This window comes from Homo sapiens, chromosome 14 (genome assembly GCF_000001405.40).
Source record: "Homo sapiens chromosome 14, GRCh38.p14 Primary Assembly".
Lineage (NCBI taxonomy): Eukaryota > Metazoa > Chordata > Mammalia > Primates > Hominidae > Homo > Homo sapiens.
Window position 1 is genome coordinate 90,582,784 of NC_000014.9, and position 21,328 is coordinate 90,604,111.

Sequence of the window (21,328 nt, forward strand, 5' to 3'; positions counted from 1 at the left end):
TAGCCATTCCCTCTCTAAGAGGAAATTACACTTGCATGGGGCACAACGTCTTAGGCTCCAGGAATGAAGCTTTAGTGGTGGGGTTTCAGACACCAATCAGGTAGTTTGAGATGGAGTTGGAGATAAAAAGGAAAGGATTTCTAAGGTCTCCCACCACCCGTGAGATCACCCCAGGATGTAGCCTTCTTTGCCTAGGCATGTGGCTGGGCCTCTAGGACAGAACGAGGCCACAAGTATTGATTATGAACCTGCACTACTTGAAAAGCCTTCTTTCCTGGGAGTCCATAGCCCAAATAAGGACCACATATTCCACCCAACCTCCCCAGTAGCAGAGGTGGGGATTTGATCTCCATCTGCCTCCCTCATCTTCACTGGTTGGGAACTCAGGAAGAAAAGAATATCATTTATACTTTCCCAAAGCCCCTCACATAGAAACAGTATGGCTTTCTCGCTAAACTGTAGACAACTCCTAGCCACAGTCATTTCTGTATCCCTCAGCAGAGGATCTACAGGCTGGTCCCCTAGGACACAACTTAGTAGGTGCTCAAGAAAAGTCTGCAGATTACTGAATGCTGGGTGTGGGTCAGAGCAGGGCAGCCATTTCTGTGGCACAGATCAACAAGGACAGGTGAAGGCCAGGGAAGCAACAGCAAATGAAATCTCCCTTTCCTTTCACCAAGGAGTGAATTCAATTTAAAAAAATAAAGGGCCTTGTAAGCTTATTAAGAGATACAAGAACTGGTACCAAAGGAACAGCAGCACAGTGAAATGGGCTCTGGGAACTCAACGCCATCAGCTGCCAACAAGAACACACTTCAGCGCAAGGTCAGTGCTCCAGCTGCAGGGCAGGGTCTGGAAGGTCACTCTCTGAAGAGGTTCCAGGGACAGATATTCTGTCCTGGCCGCTGGTGGCTGACTGCCTCTCACCAAAGGCAAGGGGCGTGGATACTTCCTACCTTATTTTGAGAGCTCCATAAGCTCTGAATGTTCTCTTAGGAACCCTTGGTTTGTCCCTGCTATTGGGTTACTATGAAAAATGTGGATAAAATCTCCCCACCGTGTACAAAGCTTATTTGGCATGAACATAACCCAAATGCTTTTGCTTGGCATTTAAAATTCAAAATCAGGGCCCTGCCGCCTTTCCAACCTCCTCTTTTGCCTCAAATGCCTTTCAGCTTCACTCTGCCCAGGACCCCCCAGAAACCCAGGGCAAGCACTTTTCACCTTTCCATTCTTCCTCCACCCTGCGTGTGCTCTGGGACACCCCTCGACCTCATCTGCCCTGTCACAGTGAGCCGCAAGTGTGCCAACCCTCCTGCAGGGCTGGGTCAAGCCTGTTCCTTCCTCGCACCCTAACTCTGCCTTGCGCACAGAGGGCTTCCTGGAATGGTTTGTTGAACCAGACTGGAGACGTGATCCTAAAAGGGCAAGCTACTCTGTGAAGGTTTCTCTCTCAAGGTGAAGTGGTGTTCCTGGCTGGGGGACCTGGTGCTAGATGCACCCAGAACCTCACGCAGGTCTAGTTTCCTCGTTCATTCATTCATTCATTCATCAAATGCTTGTCAAGCCCCTGCTTCATGTCAGCTGCAAGGGGCTTGCCCTGGGCTTGGCTGTGCGGGGTGTGCACAGGCACTGGGCTGAGGAGGCTGACAACCAGCCTGGGCCCCACTGCAGGCTGTGTGCCTGGACAGGGCTGCACCAGCCTGGAGGAATGCAAGGAAGCCCTTTCCTTCTCACAAAGTTGTCCTCCACTAGCCAAGGCTGCTCTCTCTGGGGGCTTAGTCTATTCAGAAGGGACATCTTTCGGAAACGCACACAAAGGAGCAGTCTAGGCTGGAGGCAGCCCTCAGAACGGCCCCGAGATCTTCTACCTCACCTGCGCCTGGCAGAGAAACGTGACGGAAAGGACGCATGGCAGTAGGTACCTCCCGACCTCGCAGCTCAAGCCGGCAGCCTCCCTGACCCCTCCAAACCATGTCCTTTACCCCTGACCCTGCCTCCCTAAAGAGAGATGCTGTGGAGGGCAGAGGGGTCCCACCTGATCGCAGGGTGTCTGCTAGCACAGAGGGTGCTCCTGGAGCCCACCTTCTTTTTCACATAAAAATCAGCACAAGGGCCAAGCAGAAAGGGATCCTGTGTCCTGATGGGTCTCCTGTCACCCTTCCAAGCCCTCAAGGCCTAGAGAGGCCTTCAGCTCTGTCGGCTCTCACTGGACTTAGCCTTAATTCTTTCTTTGTCTGAGAAGGGTTAGCAAGTGGAAGGAGGCAGTGATTTTGTCTTCAAGTGCCGTCCTACCCTGAGCTTCCCTCGGCCAGGCCCCATGCTGGGATCTGAAGTCCCCAAATTGAGCACAGCCCAGGCTCTGGCCTCATTGAAGGCCCAGCCAAATGTCTTTGCCAGGGTCGGGCTGTGCAACTGCCATTAGTCTCTGAGTCTGCATCTGGCTGTGTCAGTTTGTCGAGAGGGATCCCTTCTCCAGGGGCTCCGTGGCACAGCAGGATGAGCTCCTCCTCCCCTAGCTGCAGCAGTGACAGGCGCTAGCCCTTCCTGGCCTCAGCCCCGCTGTTCTGACTCCTGACCCATCCCCTCCGCTGCCTTGACACATCATTCAGAGAGAAGTCAGAAGCCAGCCAAGTGGACCCCGAGCCTCTTCTGGCCACCAAACCAACAACTCATCTGTGTCCTCTGTTCCATCCACTCTGTGTCTCTTCTGACTTCGTCACTGAGAGCCCTCTGCCTGTGCCCTGGACCCCACCACACTCTTGCTGGAGGAATTCATTTCACCTCCACACATCCCCCCTCTCTTTTGGATGCCGAGGGCCTCATTTTTACCTGATCATCCCTGTGGGCAATCAACGTGCTCCAATGGGCTTCAGCCTCCTCAGTCCCTACGCAGCTCCGCACATCCAATCAACATGCTCCAACGGGTTTCAGCCCCCTTCAAGCCCCAGGCTCCCAATCACATCCCTCATTGCTGCTCCAGAGGGATTCTTCTTGCAAGAACTGTGCACCTTCTGTGCCTTAACTTCCTCACTTGCCATTTGCTCTGCAACCCACACCAGATGGCATCCATCTCCACCACGCCACTAAATCCAGTCTCGTTACCAACACTCCCATACATCAGGTCCAGCAAATGCTTTTGTCGCTACATTCCCAACCTCTCAGCGGCACTGCCCACCGGCCACATCCTCCTTAAAAATCGTTATTTTAGTAGTTGTTATGTGTTTGCTGTTATGTGGTTGTCCTAACTCTCTTCATTTAATAGAAGACATAGAGGCTCAGTGGGAGTGGGAATAGCTTGCCCAGGTATTACTGCTAGTGTGTGGCGGGGCCAGGGTTGTAACTGATGAGCCAGACCCAGGTTCTCGCCTTCACCGCATGGGCTCCTTCCTGCCCCCCTGGCTGCCGCGATGCCGTCTGCGCTGCTTTCCTCCCGCCTTGCCGACCACTCCCCTTCAGATGCTGTGGCTCTTCCTCTGCTCCTCAATCTTTTTTTCTTTTTTCAAGGTGGAGTTTCGCTCTTGTTGCTCAGGCTGGAGTGCAGTGGTGCGATCTCGGCTCATTGCAATCTCCACCTCCCAGGTTCAAGCGATTCTCCTGCCTCAGCCTCCCGAGTAGCTGGGATTACAGGTGCCTGCCACCACACCTGGCTACTTTTGTATTTTTAGTAGAGACGGGGTTTCACCATGTTGGCCAGGCTGGTCTTGAACTCCTGACCTCAGGTGATTGACCCGCCTCAGCCTTCCAAACTGCTGGGATTACAGGCATGAGCCACTGCACCCGGCTGTTCCCCAAGCTTTAAATGTGGAGGGGCTCAGTCTCAGTCTGGCCCTTTCACTTCTCCACCTACATTCTCTTCTTAGGCCGTCTTAGCACCTATCTTAGGCCTTTAAAGGGGGCTTTAAATCCCAACTCTTAAAGGTATGTTTCCAGCCCAGTTCTGAAATGTAGACCGGAACATCCAGCCGCCTGCCTGGCATCCTGACTTCCTTGTCCTCAGGCACCCGACACTTCCAAGCTCAAGTGGGACTCTGAAGTCTCTGCCTCCCTGACTCCAACTCATCAGTTCTTCCCCAGGCTTCCTCATTGCAGCAAATGGTGTCACCAGTCACCCACAGACTCAAGCCCCACACTCAGGTTTCCTTCTGTATTCCTCCTTTTCCTTCACCCCTCAACATCCAACCTACAACAAGTCCCATCAGTTCTGCCTCAGAAGGCATCTCAGGGTCCCCTCCTCTTCATCTCCATTGAGACCACAGACCAAGCTGCTGTCCTCTACCACCTGGACCAATGCTCCCAATTTCCTGCTCTGCCGGCGTCCACTTTGACTGCCTTCCATCCATTCTCCACATTTAGCTGGAGTGATTTTTTTTCCGGAGAGGGGTCTTGCTATGTTGCCCAGGCCGGACTCAGGCAATCCTCCCACCTCAGCCTCCTGAGTAGTGCCCAGCTTGGAGTGATCTTTTGAAAGTGGTCCTTTCATGCTCCTGCTTCAAGTCCCTCAGTAGCTTTCCAATGATTTTAGGATTAACTAAAATATCTTAACATGGCTGCCAGGGGTGCTGGCATGACTTGAGCCTGGGCCCTTCTCCTGGCTCCCCTTGGCTGCTTTACTGCTTACTCCTCAGGGTTCATGCCCCAGGGGCCAGTATTCCTCTAACACTCAGAGCTCAGGCTGCCCCCAGGTCTTCCCACATGCTGTTCTATGCCTCCATCGTCCCTGACCTGGTGCTAGTCACTGCTGAGGTCACTGCCCAAGTGTGTGCAGGCCCCCTCTGGCTCCCCTGGTTGGGGGAGGCCTTGTGTTATGAGGGGTCGCAGGGGCCTACAGTGCTCCCCCCAGCACTTGGCACAGGGAGTTAAGTGCTTCTGTCATTGTTCTGTTCCACATCTGCAAATGCCATGAAGGCCAGGAGCTGTGTCTGTCTTCATAACCATAGGACTCCAGTGCCTCGCTCCACTGTGGCAGGTGGAGATGCTGGACGATACTGTGTTGACAACTGAGTGCCTACTGTGGGTTGGAGCTAGGGTTCTGGGGCCACACTGCTTGGGTTTAGATTGTGGCTTTCTAACTCTTTAGCCACGTAACCTTCGGCAAGTGACCTGATAGCTGTGTCTCAGTTTCTTCACCTATGGAATGGGGTGAATACGGGTATTTATACCTCATAAGGTTATTATGAGGACTGAACAAATTAAGACATATTAAAGTCCTTGGAATAGCATCTGACACATCTACAGTGTGTGGTAAACGTTAGCTGGACGGGCTTGACCCTCAGGGACGTCGTGTTCCCTCTCACAGGCGCTCCCTGTACAGTGACTGCACACACCACCTGTCTGGGAACTGTCTTCATCTCGTCACGAATGGGGCAAGGCTACGGGATTACCCCTTGACCCTGCTGATGCAACCTCTGGTGCCTGGGAGGAGTCTGGGCAAAGGCGCCAGGCCAGGCCAGGCCAGGCCAGGGCCAAGGAATTTGTGAGAGTATTACAGCCTTAAATTTCCAGCAGAAATCAGAAAATCTGATCTTGCATATCTAAGAATAGCCGCTGGTTTCAACCATGAGAGGTGCCAAAGTGAAAGCTGTAATTATTAGTAAGTAACAAGCAGAAATTAACCACCTACCGCAAAGTCATTTTTAGCTGCCATCCCAAGGTGGAAATTGAAAAATGGGCACCAAGAAGCTGTTTGGTTTGGAAAAGACCCTGGCTCAGTGCTGAAGGGCTGTGGACATGCGAATTTCCAATGCCAGCAGTAAGGTGTGCACTCAAGGAAGATGAGGAATGGCTCCTGAGGAACCATGTCTTGAGGTGCCACATCCCATGCTCTAATGGGGCTCTCCTGACTTCTGCATAGTGAGACTGCAAAGGTGCTCACTTCTATCCAGCCTGGGCTCCCACATTGTAAAAATGGAGAAAATAACCTTTCTCTGACTTTCTTTACAGAATAGTATATAGACAAATGGCACTGGAACATACCTGGAACTTTTAGGAAAAGAAACCATAAACATGAATAGTTGCTTTCCAAATATCATGGGAGGCACAGATGCCGTAAGAAAAAATTGATAAATTTATTTTAAAAAACGGCAAAAGACAAACAAAAACTAAAAAAAAAAAAAAAAAAAACCCTTGGAAGATGTTTACAGCACCTATTTCAGAGACAAGGCAGATTTCTTTGACACACAATAAGTGCTTAGAAATAAAAAGGAAAAGCTCAGTATCTAAGAAGATAAATGGTCAAAAGCTACGGACAGAAAACTGAAATACCATTTTCTACTTGTCAGACTGGAAAGATCAAGGATTCTGAGAATTCATTGTGTTGGCAAGGGCGTGAGAAAGTGGACGTTAGCACATTGTTGACTGGAATGTAAACTGGTACAATTCTGTGGAAGGCAATGGACAAAACTTATCAAAATTAAAGAGTACACACCCCTTCATCCATCACTTCCACTGTTTAGAGTTTATCTTACAGATAAAAAAAAATACACAGTCAGCCCTCAGTATCCATGGGGAATTGGTTCTGGGACCTCCCTTGAATACCAAAATCCATGGATGTTCTAGTCCCTGATATGAAATGGTGCAGGATTTGCACATCCTCCTGTGTATTTTAAATTATCCTATGCACATCCTCCTGTGTGTTTTAAATCATCTCTAGATTACTTAAAATACCTAATACAATGTAAATGCTATTTAAATAGTTCTTATACTGTATTGTTTAGGGAATAATGACAAGAAGACAAAGTTTGTACTTGTTCAGTACAGACAGATTTTTTTCAGATATTTTTAATGCAAGGTTGGTTAAATCCGTGGGTGCAGAACCTGAGAATGTAAAGGGTAGACTGTGTATAGGGATACTTATTGAAGCATTATCTGTAATGGCAAAATACTAGAGTGGGGGAGCTCAAACCACATAAGGTAAAACCCGACAGTGCGGTGAAAGCTGTTTTCTTCTAAATTTACCTCTTAAAAGGCTATGTGAAGGTATGATATGATTCTACATCTTGACTCAAGCAAAATCGTTGCTTTGAAAGAGTCAACATGGCACAAATTGCCATAATAAGCTAAATGTTATCAGCTGAATTTAAGATTAAAATCTAAATGTTAATCAGTAGAGTATTGGTTAAATGATGGTCTAACCATACAGTAGACATACTCTGTAGCTGTGACAAAGTATAAGTCACCTTACAGGTGCTGATGTGCACTGACCTACCAGGTGGCACATTCAGGGGGTGGTGGGGGACAAAGTACAGCATGTGAGATTTCTGGAAGATGCACAGAACCGGTGACAGTGGTTGCCTGTGGTGGGGGTGACTGAGGCTCAGGGATAAGAGGGAGCCTTTTCACTTTGTGGCTTTTCAATTGTGTGCCATGGACCTATGGAAGGGAGCACCTATCATACAGAAAGTGGGGACCTGCTGTGGGCAAGCATCCCTCATCTCCTGGGCCTGTCCCCTTACAAAGCAGCTGGCGGCACAGGTGTCCTATTCACTATCTCCTTGTCATATACATGCACAGACAAGTGGCCTAGGGACCCTCTGCTACAATAGATTTCTCTGCTGGAAATCCAAGGTCATCTCCGAGTGACCTTTCCTGCAAGCCTCAAATCTGGGTCCACCTCCACTGTGGGCTCCCATCACGAGCTCCCACTGTACTCAGTTCACCAGAAAAAACCACCAGGAGAGAACAGGCCCACAAATGTCACTCAGACACCATGGCTTTGGGTGTCAGGCCTTGATCTAACTAATTTCTTCTAAAGCTTACAAAACTTATGGGCTCTGGCAGTATTGTGGGAGCTGATGATGGACACAGGAAACAGAGGTTACCTGGTTTCCATGAACTGCCAAAAAATTGAGTCACATTTATTTTGCCTCTCAGAGCAGTGGAGCTCAAATCACATAAGGTAAAATCTGGCAGTGCAGTGGAAACTGTCTTCTAAATTTTCCTCTTGAAGGACTATGTGAATATATGATACGATTCTAAATCTTGACTCAAGCAAAGTCATTGCTTTGAAACAGTCGATATGGCACAAATTCCAAAAAGATCCTAATTGACTTCATTCATTCGTCCTACACACAATGCTCACCGTATGCATACAGCACAGTCTGCTCAGGGTTTACAGGGTCGACAGTCACTTTCCATAGTTCAATTCCACCACCTTCTAGAATAGTAAAGCCACACCCATTTGCTAGGAAGGAGAACTTGACTCTGTCCTATGGGCCATGCAATGAGAAACGGATCTTGTGTGATTATATTAAAATTCAAGGACAGCTCCAAGAAGGCTGGGCACGGTGCCTCACACCTGTAATCCTAGCACTTTAGGAGGCTGAGGCAGGCAGATCACCTGAGGTCAGGAGTTCGAGACCAAGCCTGGCCAACATGGTGAAACCCTGTCTCTTCTAAAAATACAAAAATCAGTGGAGCATGGTGGCAGGCACCTGTAATCCCAGCTATTTGGGAGGCTGAGGCAGGAGAATTGCTTGAACCCAGCAGGCAGAGGTTGCAGTAAGCTGAGATCACACCGTTGTACTCCAGCCTGGGCCAAAGAGTGAGACTCCAACCCCCCGAAAAAATAAAATGAAAGGATAGCTCCAAGCTGAATCTTAACCATTAAGTTCTTCAATATTCTAATAATCAGCTACAAAATTTCCTCCCCAACAGTCACGGCAGGCCACGCAAAGTGGGGCAAAGTCTCTGGATAACTGAATTGGGGGCAGCAAGGCACCAGACAGAGCTCTCCTGGAATATGTTGACTTTCAGGTCATTAAGTTTTCTGAGAAACAAGCAAGAGAAGCACCACCTTCGAGGTCAGGGGGGCTAGTTCCACCCTGGAGGGATGGCCTTCAGCCCTTCTAGTGTTTTAGACTCCAGCTCTTCAGAAACCCAACTTTGAGACCAATTTAAAAGGCAACTCTGCCCCTACACCAGCCCCACAAGTTCAGGTTTACCTGGCCTGGACACTAAACCATACTCCTTCCCTTTCTGTTCTCTGTAGTTGTTGTTCATGGGGGTAACTGACTAGGACAGCCATCAGAGTTCTCAGCCAGGAACTGGACTTTTGCATAAGGGAGCTGTGGAGGAGGCGTTACTGCTACTCCTTGGCCCTCAGAGCCAGAATGTCTGGGACCTCTCTAAGCAAGAGGCCAAATGCTGCAGGCGTCTGCAGCAGAGAAGAACAACTGTGAATTCATGAATCACCCCTCTTTTGTACTTCTGCTTAGAAGAATATAATTTGTTAATTTACGGTAGTCATTATGGTGCAATTGAAGATGCCAACACAGAAAAGGCTGACTGAGCTGGGCTCTGCGGCATGCCAAGGCCAGGTAAATCCAAACATGTTTTCAATGCGAAGGCCTGCCAGTGGTGTCAAACAGGGTGGAATATCATACGATTAGCCTTGGCAAAAAAGGAGTCAACAGAGGGACAATTGGTGGATAATAAGCACCCTTCTCAGCCAAATGTGGGCTTTCACCACACACTGTAAGAGTCAAGCCTGAGAAGACCCAGGTAGGGCTATACAGATGAAGTGATGAAACCTGAGGAGGGGAATTACCTTTTATGTTGAAATATAAATATGTAAGTAAATCCACAGCCATTATTTCTTGGAAGCGCAGTGTAGTGGGATTCTCGTTATTAAAATGCCTGCACAGGCCAGGCGCGGTGGCTCACGCCTGTAATCCCAGCAATTTGGGAGGCCAAGGTGGACGGATCACCTGAGGTCAGGAGTTCGAGACCAGCCTGGCCAAGATGGTGAAACCCCGTCTCTACTAAAAACACAAAAATTAGCTGGGCGTGGTGGTGGGCGCCTGTAATTCCAGCTACTTGGGAGGCTGAGGCAGGAGAATCGCTTGAACCTGGGAGGCAGAGGTTGCAGTGAGCCGAGATTGCACCACTGCACTCCAGCCTGGGTGACAGAACAAGACTCTGTCTCAAAAAAAAAAAAAAGCCTGGACACTGCATTTATTTTTGGGCTTTTTAGTGGTGCAGAAGCATCGCTGAGCCAGCAGAGTGCCCTGGGAACTGGGGAAGGGGCACTCATGCCCCCCTTCCGGGCCAGTCTCCAGGTCAGAGGCTGTTGCTGTCTCTCTATGAAATTACAGAGAGAGCCATCAGAGAGGGGCAGAGGAGCATAGGATCATAGGGCACCAAACACACAGCCCCTTCCCTGGCTTTATAAAGACATCTGTGTCCTTAACACCTCCTGGCCCTCTCTCAGGGACTCCAAGAATTCACTGTCAAGATGTGCCAGGCATTGCACTCATCAACCCTGGGAGATGGGTGCTATTCCTAAGCCCATCATACAGAATTGGAAACTGAGGCTGAGCTAAATACTTTAACTCAAATCTACCCAGTTGGTACAGCTATGACTCCAAGTCACTCACAAAGACAGTCTCTACAGCACAGACCCTGCACCCCACATGGCAAACTCCCCAAGAATCCTTAGAGTCAATCCAGAAAACTTTCCTAGATGTCTGCTCTGTGCCAGGGCACCGAGGCAGGGGAGAGGGATCGGGGGATACAGAGTCACTTGCGGTTTGTGCAAAGTAGTAGTAACATTTTGGTGCATGGCCGTGAAGCTTTGATCTCTCCTAATGAGGGGTGTGGGCTAAACAGACAAGCGCCCAGGCTCTGGCACAGCAGCGGGTTGTGGGTGGGGCGGAGCCCAGGCTCTGGCACAGCAGCGGGTTGTGGGTGAGGCGGAGGGTACCTGCATGGAGCCAGATCTGTGCCAGCGTCATCCAGGGGTGCAGCGGGCCCTGCTTAGGGGCACTGCTCTGCAGAGACGAAGCCACTTCCGACAGTGCCTGCTCCACTCTTGAGGCTGCTACCGATGTGGCATGGACGGAGCCTGTGAGAGGTTTTTGAGAAGACTCTATCAGGAGCGAAAGAACAGACCCAACCAATCAACCCCTTCCCACACAGACAAGCGCGGAACACACACACCCCTTCCCCCATGATGTTTCTAAGATTTACTGTCCACAGAGAAACGCGGGCAATCACGGCCCGGGGCCTTAGTTTCCATCCTTGGGCTTTAGCTAATCTTTTTGTCAACAAACAGAGCACATGCCCCCTCCAGGAGCTCAGCCTAGCGGTGTGAGTGCTGGCAGATGGGGGGCCAGATACACAGCTGTGATGATACTGGCGTTTAAAAATCAAATAAATGAAGTGCTATAAGGGGACATTACAAAGCGCCCCTGTAAGGGCCTAAACCTAGAAACTTAATCAGGGTGGGGGGAGGAATATACTTGCCTCCTGGGGTAGCATTTGGAGTAGATGTACTGGCCATTCTCAAGACAAACCCAGCAACTTCCCGTTTCATTAGTGCAAGCCTGGCCTTGGAGAGGTGGACTACACCCTCGGTTTAGAACCATATTCTAAGGCATGACTTAAAAACTGCAGAAAAAAGCACACTTTTGCCCTGTGTATAAGCAGATGTCTATCCTTAAGGCTAGACTAGCAGGGGATGGGATGGAATGGGTTTGTAGCAAAGACTCCTGGGGTTCAGAATATGCACCTGCCTAATTATTCTGTAAAACCTGCTGTCCTGAAAGGCTAAGGAGAGGGGTCAACCAAGCATGTTCACTAGTCAAGGGTTGGGGGAGTGCACAAGTCAAAATGCAAAACTCATTTCTTTTCACGTTGACCTCTCGGAGGATCGGAGACCACCTCCTTAAACAGAGGCTTGCTTCCCATCTCTTTCCAACATTCACTCTTGGAGATGTGGTTTTAGAATCAAGAGCAGGATTCTCTTGATTTCAAGAGAGCAGTTGTTTCAAATTTGAAACTGTTAATATTTCTATTCACCTGCATCATTCTTAATGATCCATCAAACTTCATCAAAAAGTTTAGTATGGAGATAAACATACCAACATTGAGAGTGGTAACTACCAACTCATCATAAAGTTTAAAATAGTAATAATCTATAAAGATAAATGCGACTACAAAATAAATGGAGTTATATTCTTGGTAATACAAAATTGTGAGCATAAAAATAATTTCAGTTGCGCTTTGGAATGTACCCATCATCTATAAATTTAAAGAGTATTCACGGCAATAGATGCGCCATCCATATTATGTTTTGATTGCTCCAATATAATGGTAACATGGATGCTTCTAAATGCACCTGAATCCTTTGGTGAGGGGTTGGTGGATGGAAATCAGAGTGGGCCGACAGTGCCCACAAGGACGACCAAGAGGAGAGCAGCCTCTGGAAAGGTCTAACAAGTCCTGCTGCACAATACGGAACTCAGAGGCTGAGTTAAAAGAGTCTAGTGGCCGGGCGCGGTGGCTCACGCCTATAATCCCAGCACTTTGGGAGGCCGAGGCGGGCAGATCAGGAGGTCAGGAGATCGAGACCATCTTGGCTAACATGGTGAAACCCTGTCTCTACTAAAAATACAAAAAATTAGCCAGGCGCGGTGGCAGGTGCCTGTAATCCCAGCTACTCAGGAGGCTGAGGCAGGAGAATTGCTTGAACCCAGGAGGCAGAGCTTGCAGTGAGCCGAGGTCGCTCCATTGCACTCCAGCCTGGGTGACAGAGTGAGACTCTGTCTCAAAAAAATAAATAAATGCATAAATAAATAAATAATTAAAAAAGAGTCTAATTGATGGTATATGAAGGGGGAACCTAAGAAGTGTGCTAAGAATCTATCCTTGTTTAGACAAAGTATGTCTAACTACTATTTTTTAAAAATCTACATAGCAAAATGATTAAACTGCTGTCAAAATTTCTTATTTGTCACCTTTTTTATGGAAAGTAATATTTTGAACTTTGATAACAAGGACTTGATGTAGTTTCCCTGAGATTTTTAGTAGCAATGAAAGTTAAATAAATGAGTAATCTAGAGGCTGTTGTTGCCCTATTCCGCCATTACCAAGTTGGCTACCTTCTCATTGGCTTGAACAGTGGTTCTCAACCTTAACTTCACATCAAAATCATTCGGGATTTAAAAAATCATGATGTTATAGCTACATCCCAGACCGACCACATCACTCAGTCTAGGGGTGAGGACTGGCATCTTTGTTAATCACCCCAAGTGATTCCAATGTGCCGCTAAGACTGAGAACCACTCGCTTGGAGAGACCGGAAGCAAATGTTAACGAATATTTGGTCAAAAAAAGCCTGTACACGGGCCAGGCAGCCTGAGCTCTCCTGCTTCCCTGCAGCACAAGCGTCACCTGGGGAACAGAGTTCCAGGAAGATCTTGTTCTCTAGAACAGGGGTTCTTAGACTTTTTGGTCTCAGAATCTCTTCAGACTCTAAAAAAATCATTGAAGACCCTAAAGAGGTTGTTTATATGTTATGTCTATTGATATTCACATTAGAAGTAAAAACATGTTTTTTTTAACATGTTTTAACAGACATGTTTAAAATATTCACTTACTAATTCATTAAAAATAACAATAATAAATTATTGCTCTGGAAACATTCCACACATTTTCTACCAGGTTCTGTGAATCTTTTGCTACAAGAGTTTGTGACTTTTGGAGGGGCTAATTTTGGTTTTTGGATTAACTGTTTTGTTTGGTCCACAAATAAATAATCAGAACTACTGCCAAAGTTTCTTCTCTTTGTGGTATTTATACACAACTAAATCAATTAATTCCTAGCACAATATATTTTACTATGAATAAGGTCTGGCAGATGATGATGATGATGGCGATGATGATGACAGCAGTGGTGGTTGTCAGTTTTAGAGAACATACCATGTTTCAGGCACTGCAATTGGCACTTTATATGTACTAATCTTTAACCAGAACACAAACACTAGTCTGATTCCAAATCTGTCCTCTAAGTCCAGCTCTGATGCCACCTCCTACAGGAAGGCTGCTGTGAGCCTTCCATTTCTCCCTACAATAAGTGAGACTCTCTGGTCCTTGGTGCTTCTATGTGGTTGTCACTAACAATGCACAGACCACATGTTTTAAAGTTAATGTAACTATCTCCCTTATTAGACCGTGTGGGTCTAGAAGATGCGAACTACGTCCTCAGGGTAGGGATTTTCAGGGACTAACAATACCAGGCCCATACTAAGTATTAGGTAAATGAGTGTGCAGGGAATGAACGAGTGCTGTCAATAGACACTTCACTGTCTGAAATTCAGAAGAGGGCGGCCCCCTCTCTGGATGCACGTGTGCTCTACTCTTCCCCTCTAACAACAGCTCAGAGGCCAGAACATTCACCCACTCAAAGGACACTTCAGTGCAGTGCTCATCACTTCCAACAATCCAGACTAAAAATGACAGTGGTGAATAGTTCCAATTAAACATGGACGTTTCCCCTAACGTAAAATTAAAATATAGAGAAGGATAACAGGTTTATTAGAAATAATGTTTTTCTTCCTAGTCAATTTCTTGGTACACACATTTCACCAGGGCAGAGAGCCTTCATATTCTGAACCAGGGATAAATGTTAGGGCACTCACATAATAATAGCACATAACTAACAATAGTGAAATTATATAAGTTGGTATCTACTATTCCTGAAAATAACACAACAAATAAAAGTCTTCCATTGAATTAGTATTGGAAGGAGGGGGAAGGAAAAACATCACTTTAATCAGAATGGATACAGCTGGTTAAAAAACAAACCAAGCAGGCCAGGCGCGGTGGCTCATGCCTGTAACCCCAGCACCGTGGGAGGCTGAGGCAGGCGGATCACCTGAGGTCAGGAGTTTGAGACCAGCCTGGTCAACATAGTGAAACCCTGTCTCTACTAAAAATACAAAAAGTAGCGGGGCATGGTGGTGCACACCTGTAATCCCAGCTACTCAGGAGGCTGAGGCAGGAGAACTGCTTGAACCCCAGAGGTGGAGGTTGCAGTGAGCTGAGACTGCGCCATTGCACTCCAGCCTGGGCAACAAGAGTGAGATTCCATCTAAAAAAAAAAACAAAACAACAACAACAAAAAAAACCCTGTACTGTATTTTATTGTTTCATAGAACTGAAATGGTAAGTGACTATATAGACACTGGATTTTGACTTATATAGGTAAACAGCTGGAAACACTGGCTCTAACCAGCACATTTTTAAAGAACCCCTTTCTTTCTCACCACGGCAAACATGTTCCTGCATCGTACATCAGAATGAGAGCACTATTAACTTAAGGTGGAAATGGGCAAACTGAGGCTTGAAAAAGGAATCAGAAGTTAGAATATAGGACATATTTCCAATTTGAAATCCAAGGCTCTGCAGAAATAAGTTTCCAAATAATCAGGTTCAACAGGTAAGCCAGGGAGAGCACCTGGGCCATGGTGCATCTCTCATCTGCCACCCAGCTTCAAGAGGTCCCGCCACTGCCAGAGCCCACAGGACTGTGTGCTGCGCAGCGGCTGCCGTGCTCCGTCTAGGAGACAATGCGCCTCTCCCCGCAGTCACAGGACACAGGGGCTCTGAAAAGCCACTGCAAGACCCACTGTACCAAGGGCTGACGTAGGCAGGTGAGAGCTCGCTCTGAAATCTAGCACAGGTCTGTCGTCAAACGGCCCGAATGGTGCAAGGGCGTGTGACGTCCTGGAGCGGAGGCCATCTGCATTTCCACAAGCCAATGGCTTTCCTTGCCCTCCCACCTAGATCCTCAATCGAAAATGTTATCTTGGACACCTGATACAGAGGCAAAGTGCCACCTGAAGAACATTCTGAGCCAGGGTTTCCTTCTAGGCTCCTCTCTCCATCACCATGCATGGGGGTAAGGAGGGGGGAAGGCAGCCGAGGACCTAGAAACTGTGATGGGAAGGCATTTCCTCACGGGCCAAGAGGACCAGGAACCAAGAGGAACCAAGGCCACTGATCTCAGGGCACCATGAGTCCAAGCTCTGAACCCTTCCTGAGGTTTTCTGACCCGTGCTCCTATTGTACACTGAGGGCTGTTGAGAAACCCTGCCTGCCCCAAGTAGGACACTGGGACGGCTAGCTCATATTGCCTTTGCAGGTGAAGCTTTTCCAAAAATCCTTTTTCCAATGCACATGACACCTATGGTGAATTTCACATAGACCTCAGCTGTGGCAATCACATGTGAGCCCTCTTCCACCAAAGTTCATCATCCAAAGGGATCCCAGCACCAATAATTCTGTTAAGAAAAGGCACAGGCTGGGCGTGGTGGCTCACGCCTGTAATCCCAGCACTTTGGGAGGCTGAGGCGGGTGGATCACTTGAGGTCAGGAGTCTGAGACCAGGCTGGCCAACATGGTGAAACCCTGTCTCTACTAAAAATACAAAAAAAATTAGCCGGGCCTGGTGGCGGGTGCCTGTAATCCCAGCTACTCGGGAGGCTGAGGCAGGAGAATCGGTTGAACCCAGGAGGTGGAGGTTGCAGTGAGCTGAGATGGCACTCCAGCCTGGGTGACAGAGCGAGATTCTGTCTCAAACAAAAAAAGAGAAGAAAAAGACAAAGGAAAAAGCATAACTGATAAATTAAGTGGCTTAGTTATGCTTCATATCCCTGTATTTGTCACACGCAAGTGTTGCCGAATAAATAGGATATATTATATTCCAGCTCTCCTTCTAACTGTCTGGTGGCCTCAGTTAAGTGGCTGCAGTCTGAAGGACCCCTCGCCTTCCCTCTCCCCTCACAGCACATAGAAGATGAGCTGGATCTCTCTCAGATGGAATCCTGCCCACCCGGTGACTTGGCGAGCATTCCAGTGCCAGGAACGACGGACAGCCACATTACATGACGTGTGAAAAACATCCTCTACCAAAAGATGTCAGCCGACCACCTCACATGAGGCTGGCAGGATTTGGGGCAGCTCCTTGCTTCCCAGCCCTGGAGAACCCACTCCATGCCTCATGAGTGTGAACATGGGGGAACGATGGCACGTGGCCACACCCCAAGCCCCGTCTCTGTTTGGCACCCACATTCTTTCTGCCTAATGCTGCAGCGGCAGACACCTGCCCTCCCCACATTTTTCTGACAAGTAGCTGAGCCACTGCAGTCGTGGGCATGCAGAAATCACCTGCTGCTAATGAATTTCTGCTGTACCTGTTTTCCCTTGACCCTGAAATGATTCCAAATTCTCTGTCAACTTATTCACAATTAAAATAATACGAAAAAGCAGCAGTTCCATCTCTTAAAGAACCTGAATATTAAGCAGCAATCTGAGTGACTCAGCATTCTGTGAGCTAGCTTTGCTTTAGAATTTTCATTTCTTAACAGGAAAAAAAAAATTCTGTTTCTCAAGATAGGGCTTGGAAATAAATCAGTCCAACACTGCAGACTGCTGGCAGCTCTGTGCCCTTCTGTCTCTGTGTGTCACCTGTGCTTGAAGAACCAGAATGTCCTGGGGGCTGAGGACGGGAGGAGGCGAAGGAGTTAGTGTTGACTGTCTCTTATTTCTTGAAGGGAGAGGAAGAGGCATGAGTGTCCACTCCCACTTCGGCCCTCAAAGCAGGCATATTTCTCCATACCTTTTAAAAAACATAACTGCTGTCCCCTCATCTCCCTGGTGCCCGGGAGTTAGGACAATTCCCATCTTTGCTGTAGGGTAGTCCTGCTTTCTGAGGAGGCGACTCCAGGTGGTGGCTCCTTGCACCGCGCTGTCACAGCTCTCCTCTCCATCTGCTGCTTCCCTGGGAGCTGCCCTCGCGCCTTGTGTCCCCCAGTGTGACAGCAGGGGCGGGGCCGCTGCCCACCCAGTCCCACCAACCATGAGGGCTCCTGCTGTGGGTTCCTCTGATAAATAAATCACCTTGGTCACCATTCTAGTAGACACTTCCATTTTTCACCAAGTGAAAAAAGGATTAAGACTCATAGCCCCAAGACGGGATCAGTTTCCCACTGACTTTAACATAATATCAAGCACCGTTTAAACCTGACAGCACACGTCTTGTCCTGAAAGGGGGAAGCTCTTTCCAGGGAAGGACCCCAGTAAGGCAGGGAGGGCCGGGGACATGTCATCACCGGTGGGCATGCGGGGCTAGCGCAGCATGCTGCTGGTGGGTGCTGGCAGGGCCAGGTGGTCACACAGAAAGCATGGAGGGAAGCCGTTCACACGCATGCAGGAAGGTGCCAGCTGTCAGAGCGAGCCGCTGCCGGTGGCTCTGCGCTAGAGACAGTACCTTCTGGAGGACTACATTGGGCAGATGCTTCCATCTCCACCTGAACCCTCCCTGATGCATATTCATGAGGCTGTGTCTTGGGGTGGAAGTGCCTTCTGCCTGGGGAAGGCTCTCTGAGCCTCCAAGTGCCTGACTGCCGGCGTCCTGGGGAAAGCCTCCCAGGTTGGGATGATATTCTAATGCTGGACACACTCCCCAACTTCTACCTGAGTGCCACTTACTGTTGGCTTGTCAGTCTCCTATCATTCCACTCAATCTTGTTTAAAGAAAGATACTACAGAACTAATTAAGGAGAATTATATTAAATTTAGTTTAATTAAAATAGCAAAAAAAGGTTCTATATTAGAGCTGAATTTTAAAAATCACCACCCCTCAAAAATGGTACAGTCATCACAGAGTGATGCTCCCATATATACCTAGATTTCTTTTAAAGCTACTTTATTCTATTAAGCAGGAACAGAGACTAAAACCGCCTAATTGACTAGTCACTTCCTGATCATGATATACATTCTTGAGTGTTAGAAAATGCAGCTCAATAAAATGCTTGCCATGATGGAAAGAGAAAAACATCACTACTGTCTTGAATTCCTTTCTCACTCTTATTTTATTTTAGAGGTATGTTCTTCATTAACGTGTTTACTCTCTTCTCCCGGTGAATTACTGCTAAAGAGAGCAGCAACTTCACTAGAATCAGTGATAGGAAAAATGGAGCCAAGAACTCAAGTCGGTAATCTTGATTTTAGCATGTTCTTGGAGAGGGGAATAAAACATCAGCACAGATTTTTCTCCAAAAAAACAACTGCTAGGGCACCTGCAGGGGAGCGCCCCGGGTCCTCTAAGAAGTGATGAGCAGCATGCAGAGAGCCCTGCTGCTTCGCTCCAATCCTGCTCAGCCACCTCCACTCTTCTGGTCCTAGCTGCCCAGGGTGTAACTCAGGGGGAAGGCACCTGACTCGCCCTTAAAACCAGGATCCATGGCTGCCAAATCATAAGGGCGGTGTACATAGAATAACTATGGAATTTACATTTTTACAGATGAGGAAATGAGGCCCAGGGCGATGCGGCGAGTTGCCGGGTGACTCCAGAGCTGGCCCTTGATGGTGAGAGGAACCTGGCAGGGAAATCTCTTTTATGAAGCACCTAATGTGTGATGACAGCACCAACACATACCTCTTTTCTATTATGGACTGCTTTTAGGCCAGAAATAAAGGCACATCTAGGTTGAGCTGGATTTCAGAGGGTGGAATCAACTCTTAAGGGTGAGGGGCAGTATTTGCCATAAGCTAAAGGCTCAGGTCATTCAAATGCACTGGATCCCCATATCCACCAGCATTTCCCCAAATGCAATCCATGAACACTGATTTCCTAGGGTGGAAAAAACGATTACATTAGTTTGGGAACACTGGGTCAAAGTGCGGGACTTCTCAGAACATTTAATGTGGTTAATGTGAACTATGAAGCACTAGGCAGGAGATGGACTGTCGTCCAAATATATTTGACCAAAGAGAATCAGTGGTCTAAGAAACATCCTTTGGCAGATGTGACAAGTCACTAATGACTTAAACACTGCCAAAAGCACTGTTAGGCTGGGCGTGATGGCTCACGCCTGTAATCCCAGCATTTTGGGAGGCGAGGTGGGAGGATCGCTTGAGCCCAGGAGTTGGAAACCAGCCTGGGCAACACAGTGAGGCCTCCTCTCTGCCAAAAATTAAAAAATTAGCTGGGTATGATGGCGTGTGCATGGTGTCCCAGCTGCTCAAGAGGCCAAGGTGGGAGGCTCACTTGAGCCCTGGGGTTCCAGGCTTCAGTGAGCTGTAATCGTGTCATTGCACTCCAGCCTGATCTACTAAGACCTTGTCTCAAAAAGAAAAAAAAAAAAAGCACTGATCCTACATCCAGGGAATTAAGCAATTCCTTTAAATTTTGGTAGATACATTTTTAAGTTTTATGATGTCTGCTTATTTTTAGAAAAATTAACAGTTAGAATTGCTCTCCTATGCAACAATAATGGTTGGATTAATTACAAAAATTTCAAGATCCAACTGGTTCCCTCTACCTAAAATTTACTGGCCACCCGCCTTGGGAAGACGGGGCATCTCATGCTTCCAATCAGTGCCAGGAGTGCTTCTCACCACCCACTGCACACCCAGAGTTGGCCTTTTTCCCTGCAATGCCTTCTTTTGTAGTCCTTCTCAGATCAATACTGCCTCCTCATATATAAACCCAAGCTGCGCTGAATGCATTAGGATCTCAGGAGGGATGGGCTCCAGGTGGCAGAGTGGGCAGGCAGGTGGCAGAGGGATGTCCACGTCATCTCAGCATTCTCAGCACTCAACAACCACAATGCACATTCCGTGGTGGGGGGAGTGTGATTCTGGAGGCCCTCGGAAGGATTAATAGATTGGTAAACTACTTACTAACTGAAAAAAGGGAAGGAAAACCATGAAAGTATGCTTCTGGAGAGTTGCCTTGGAACAACAGATCAAACCAAAAATTAAAACCAAGAAACAAAACATTTGAAAAATCAAAATTAAGACTAAAAAAGCGAACAGAGTTCTAATAACCTTCCAACTGTAAGTCTGGCTGTCTAGAATCATATTTCCATTCAAGAGTGGCACACATTTTTCCACTAACATTTTTTTTTTAAACAAAAGAAAGGCCAACTGGGCATTCCCCTATCCATTGAAATGTTCACCCAGCACATGAAAGCTGACCAATTCATGCAATGTATTTTGTTTCCAGAGCAGGAAATTCCAAAGGGAAGGGAAAAATAATCAAACAAGTGGGTTTTGGGTCTTTCCACACATTAACCCTAATCATGATTCCAGTGGTTTGTAGGGTTGGGCTAATTTTCCCTTCTATGAAGTCAAAGGTTTGGAGGGAGAAATTCATACAACTTCAGATCTTGACTATCTGCTTATCCTAACGGAAAAGTTGGGACTTAAAATCATTACAATTTTAATTAAGAAATTCTGCATTTGTCAGTATGTTTTCCCCCCTCTAACTAAATGCTGACTCTGTGGGAGGGGGTGGATTCTCGAGAGCTTCAGTCTTAGTTGAAACACCTGGTTACTGGCTAGACACTCCCTGAGGATGGAAAGATGACTTCAGCTTATTAAGAATAAACAACTGAGCACTGCCCGGGACATACTCCATTCAGCAGAAAGCCCAGTGGGTGCTCATCACCCCAGAAAGTCACTGATTAATCAGACATAAAGTGCCTCCCCTGAAGAGTCAGGACTGCAATCTTCAAAGGCTTACAGGATCACAGGGCTC

At 47.6% G+C, this 21,328-nt stretch overlaps 1 protein-coding gene across 3 annotated transcripts in view; it reads right to left on the reverse strand.

Moving 5' to 3' along the window:
• Nucleotides 1–21,328, reverse strand: part of TTC7B (tetratricopeptide repeat domain 7B) — a 291,867-nt gene that overhangs the window by 58,220 nt on the left and 212,319 nt on the right. For 2 of the 3 annotated variants that reach the window (NM_001320421.2, NM_001401365.1), the window contains 2 exons: nt 20,470–20,520; nt 10,703–10,843 (listed from right to left, as the gene is read on the reverse strand). In NM_001320421.2, the coding sequence (NP_001307350.1) occupies nt 10,703–10,843; nt 20,470–20,520 (192 nt within the window). The remainder of the gene's footprint in view (nt 1–10,702; nt 10,844–20,469; nt 20,521–21,328) is intronic. The other variant, NM_001010854.2, reaches the window with a different exon arrangement.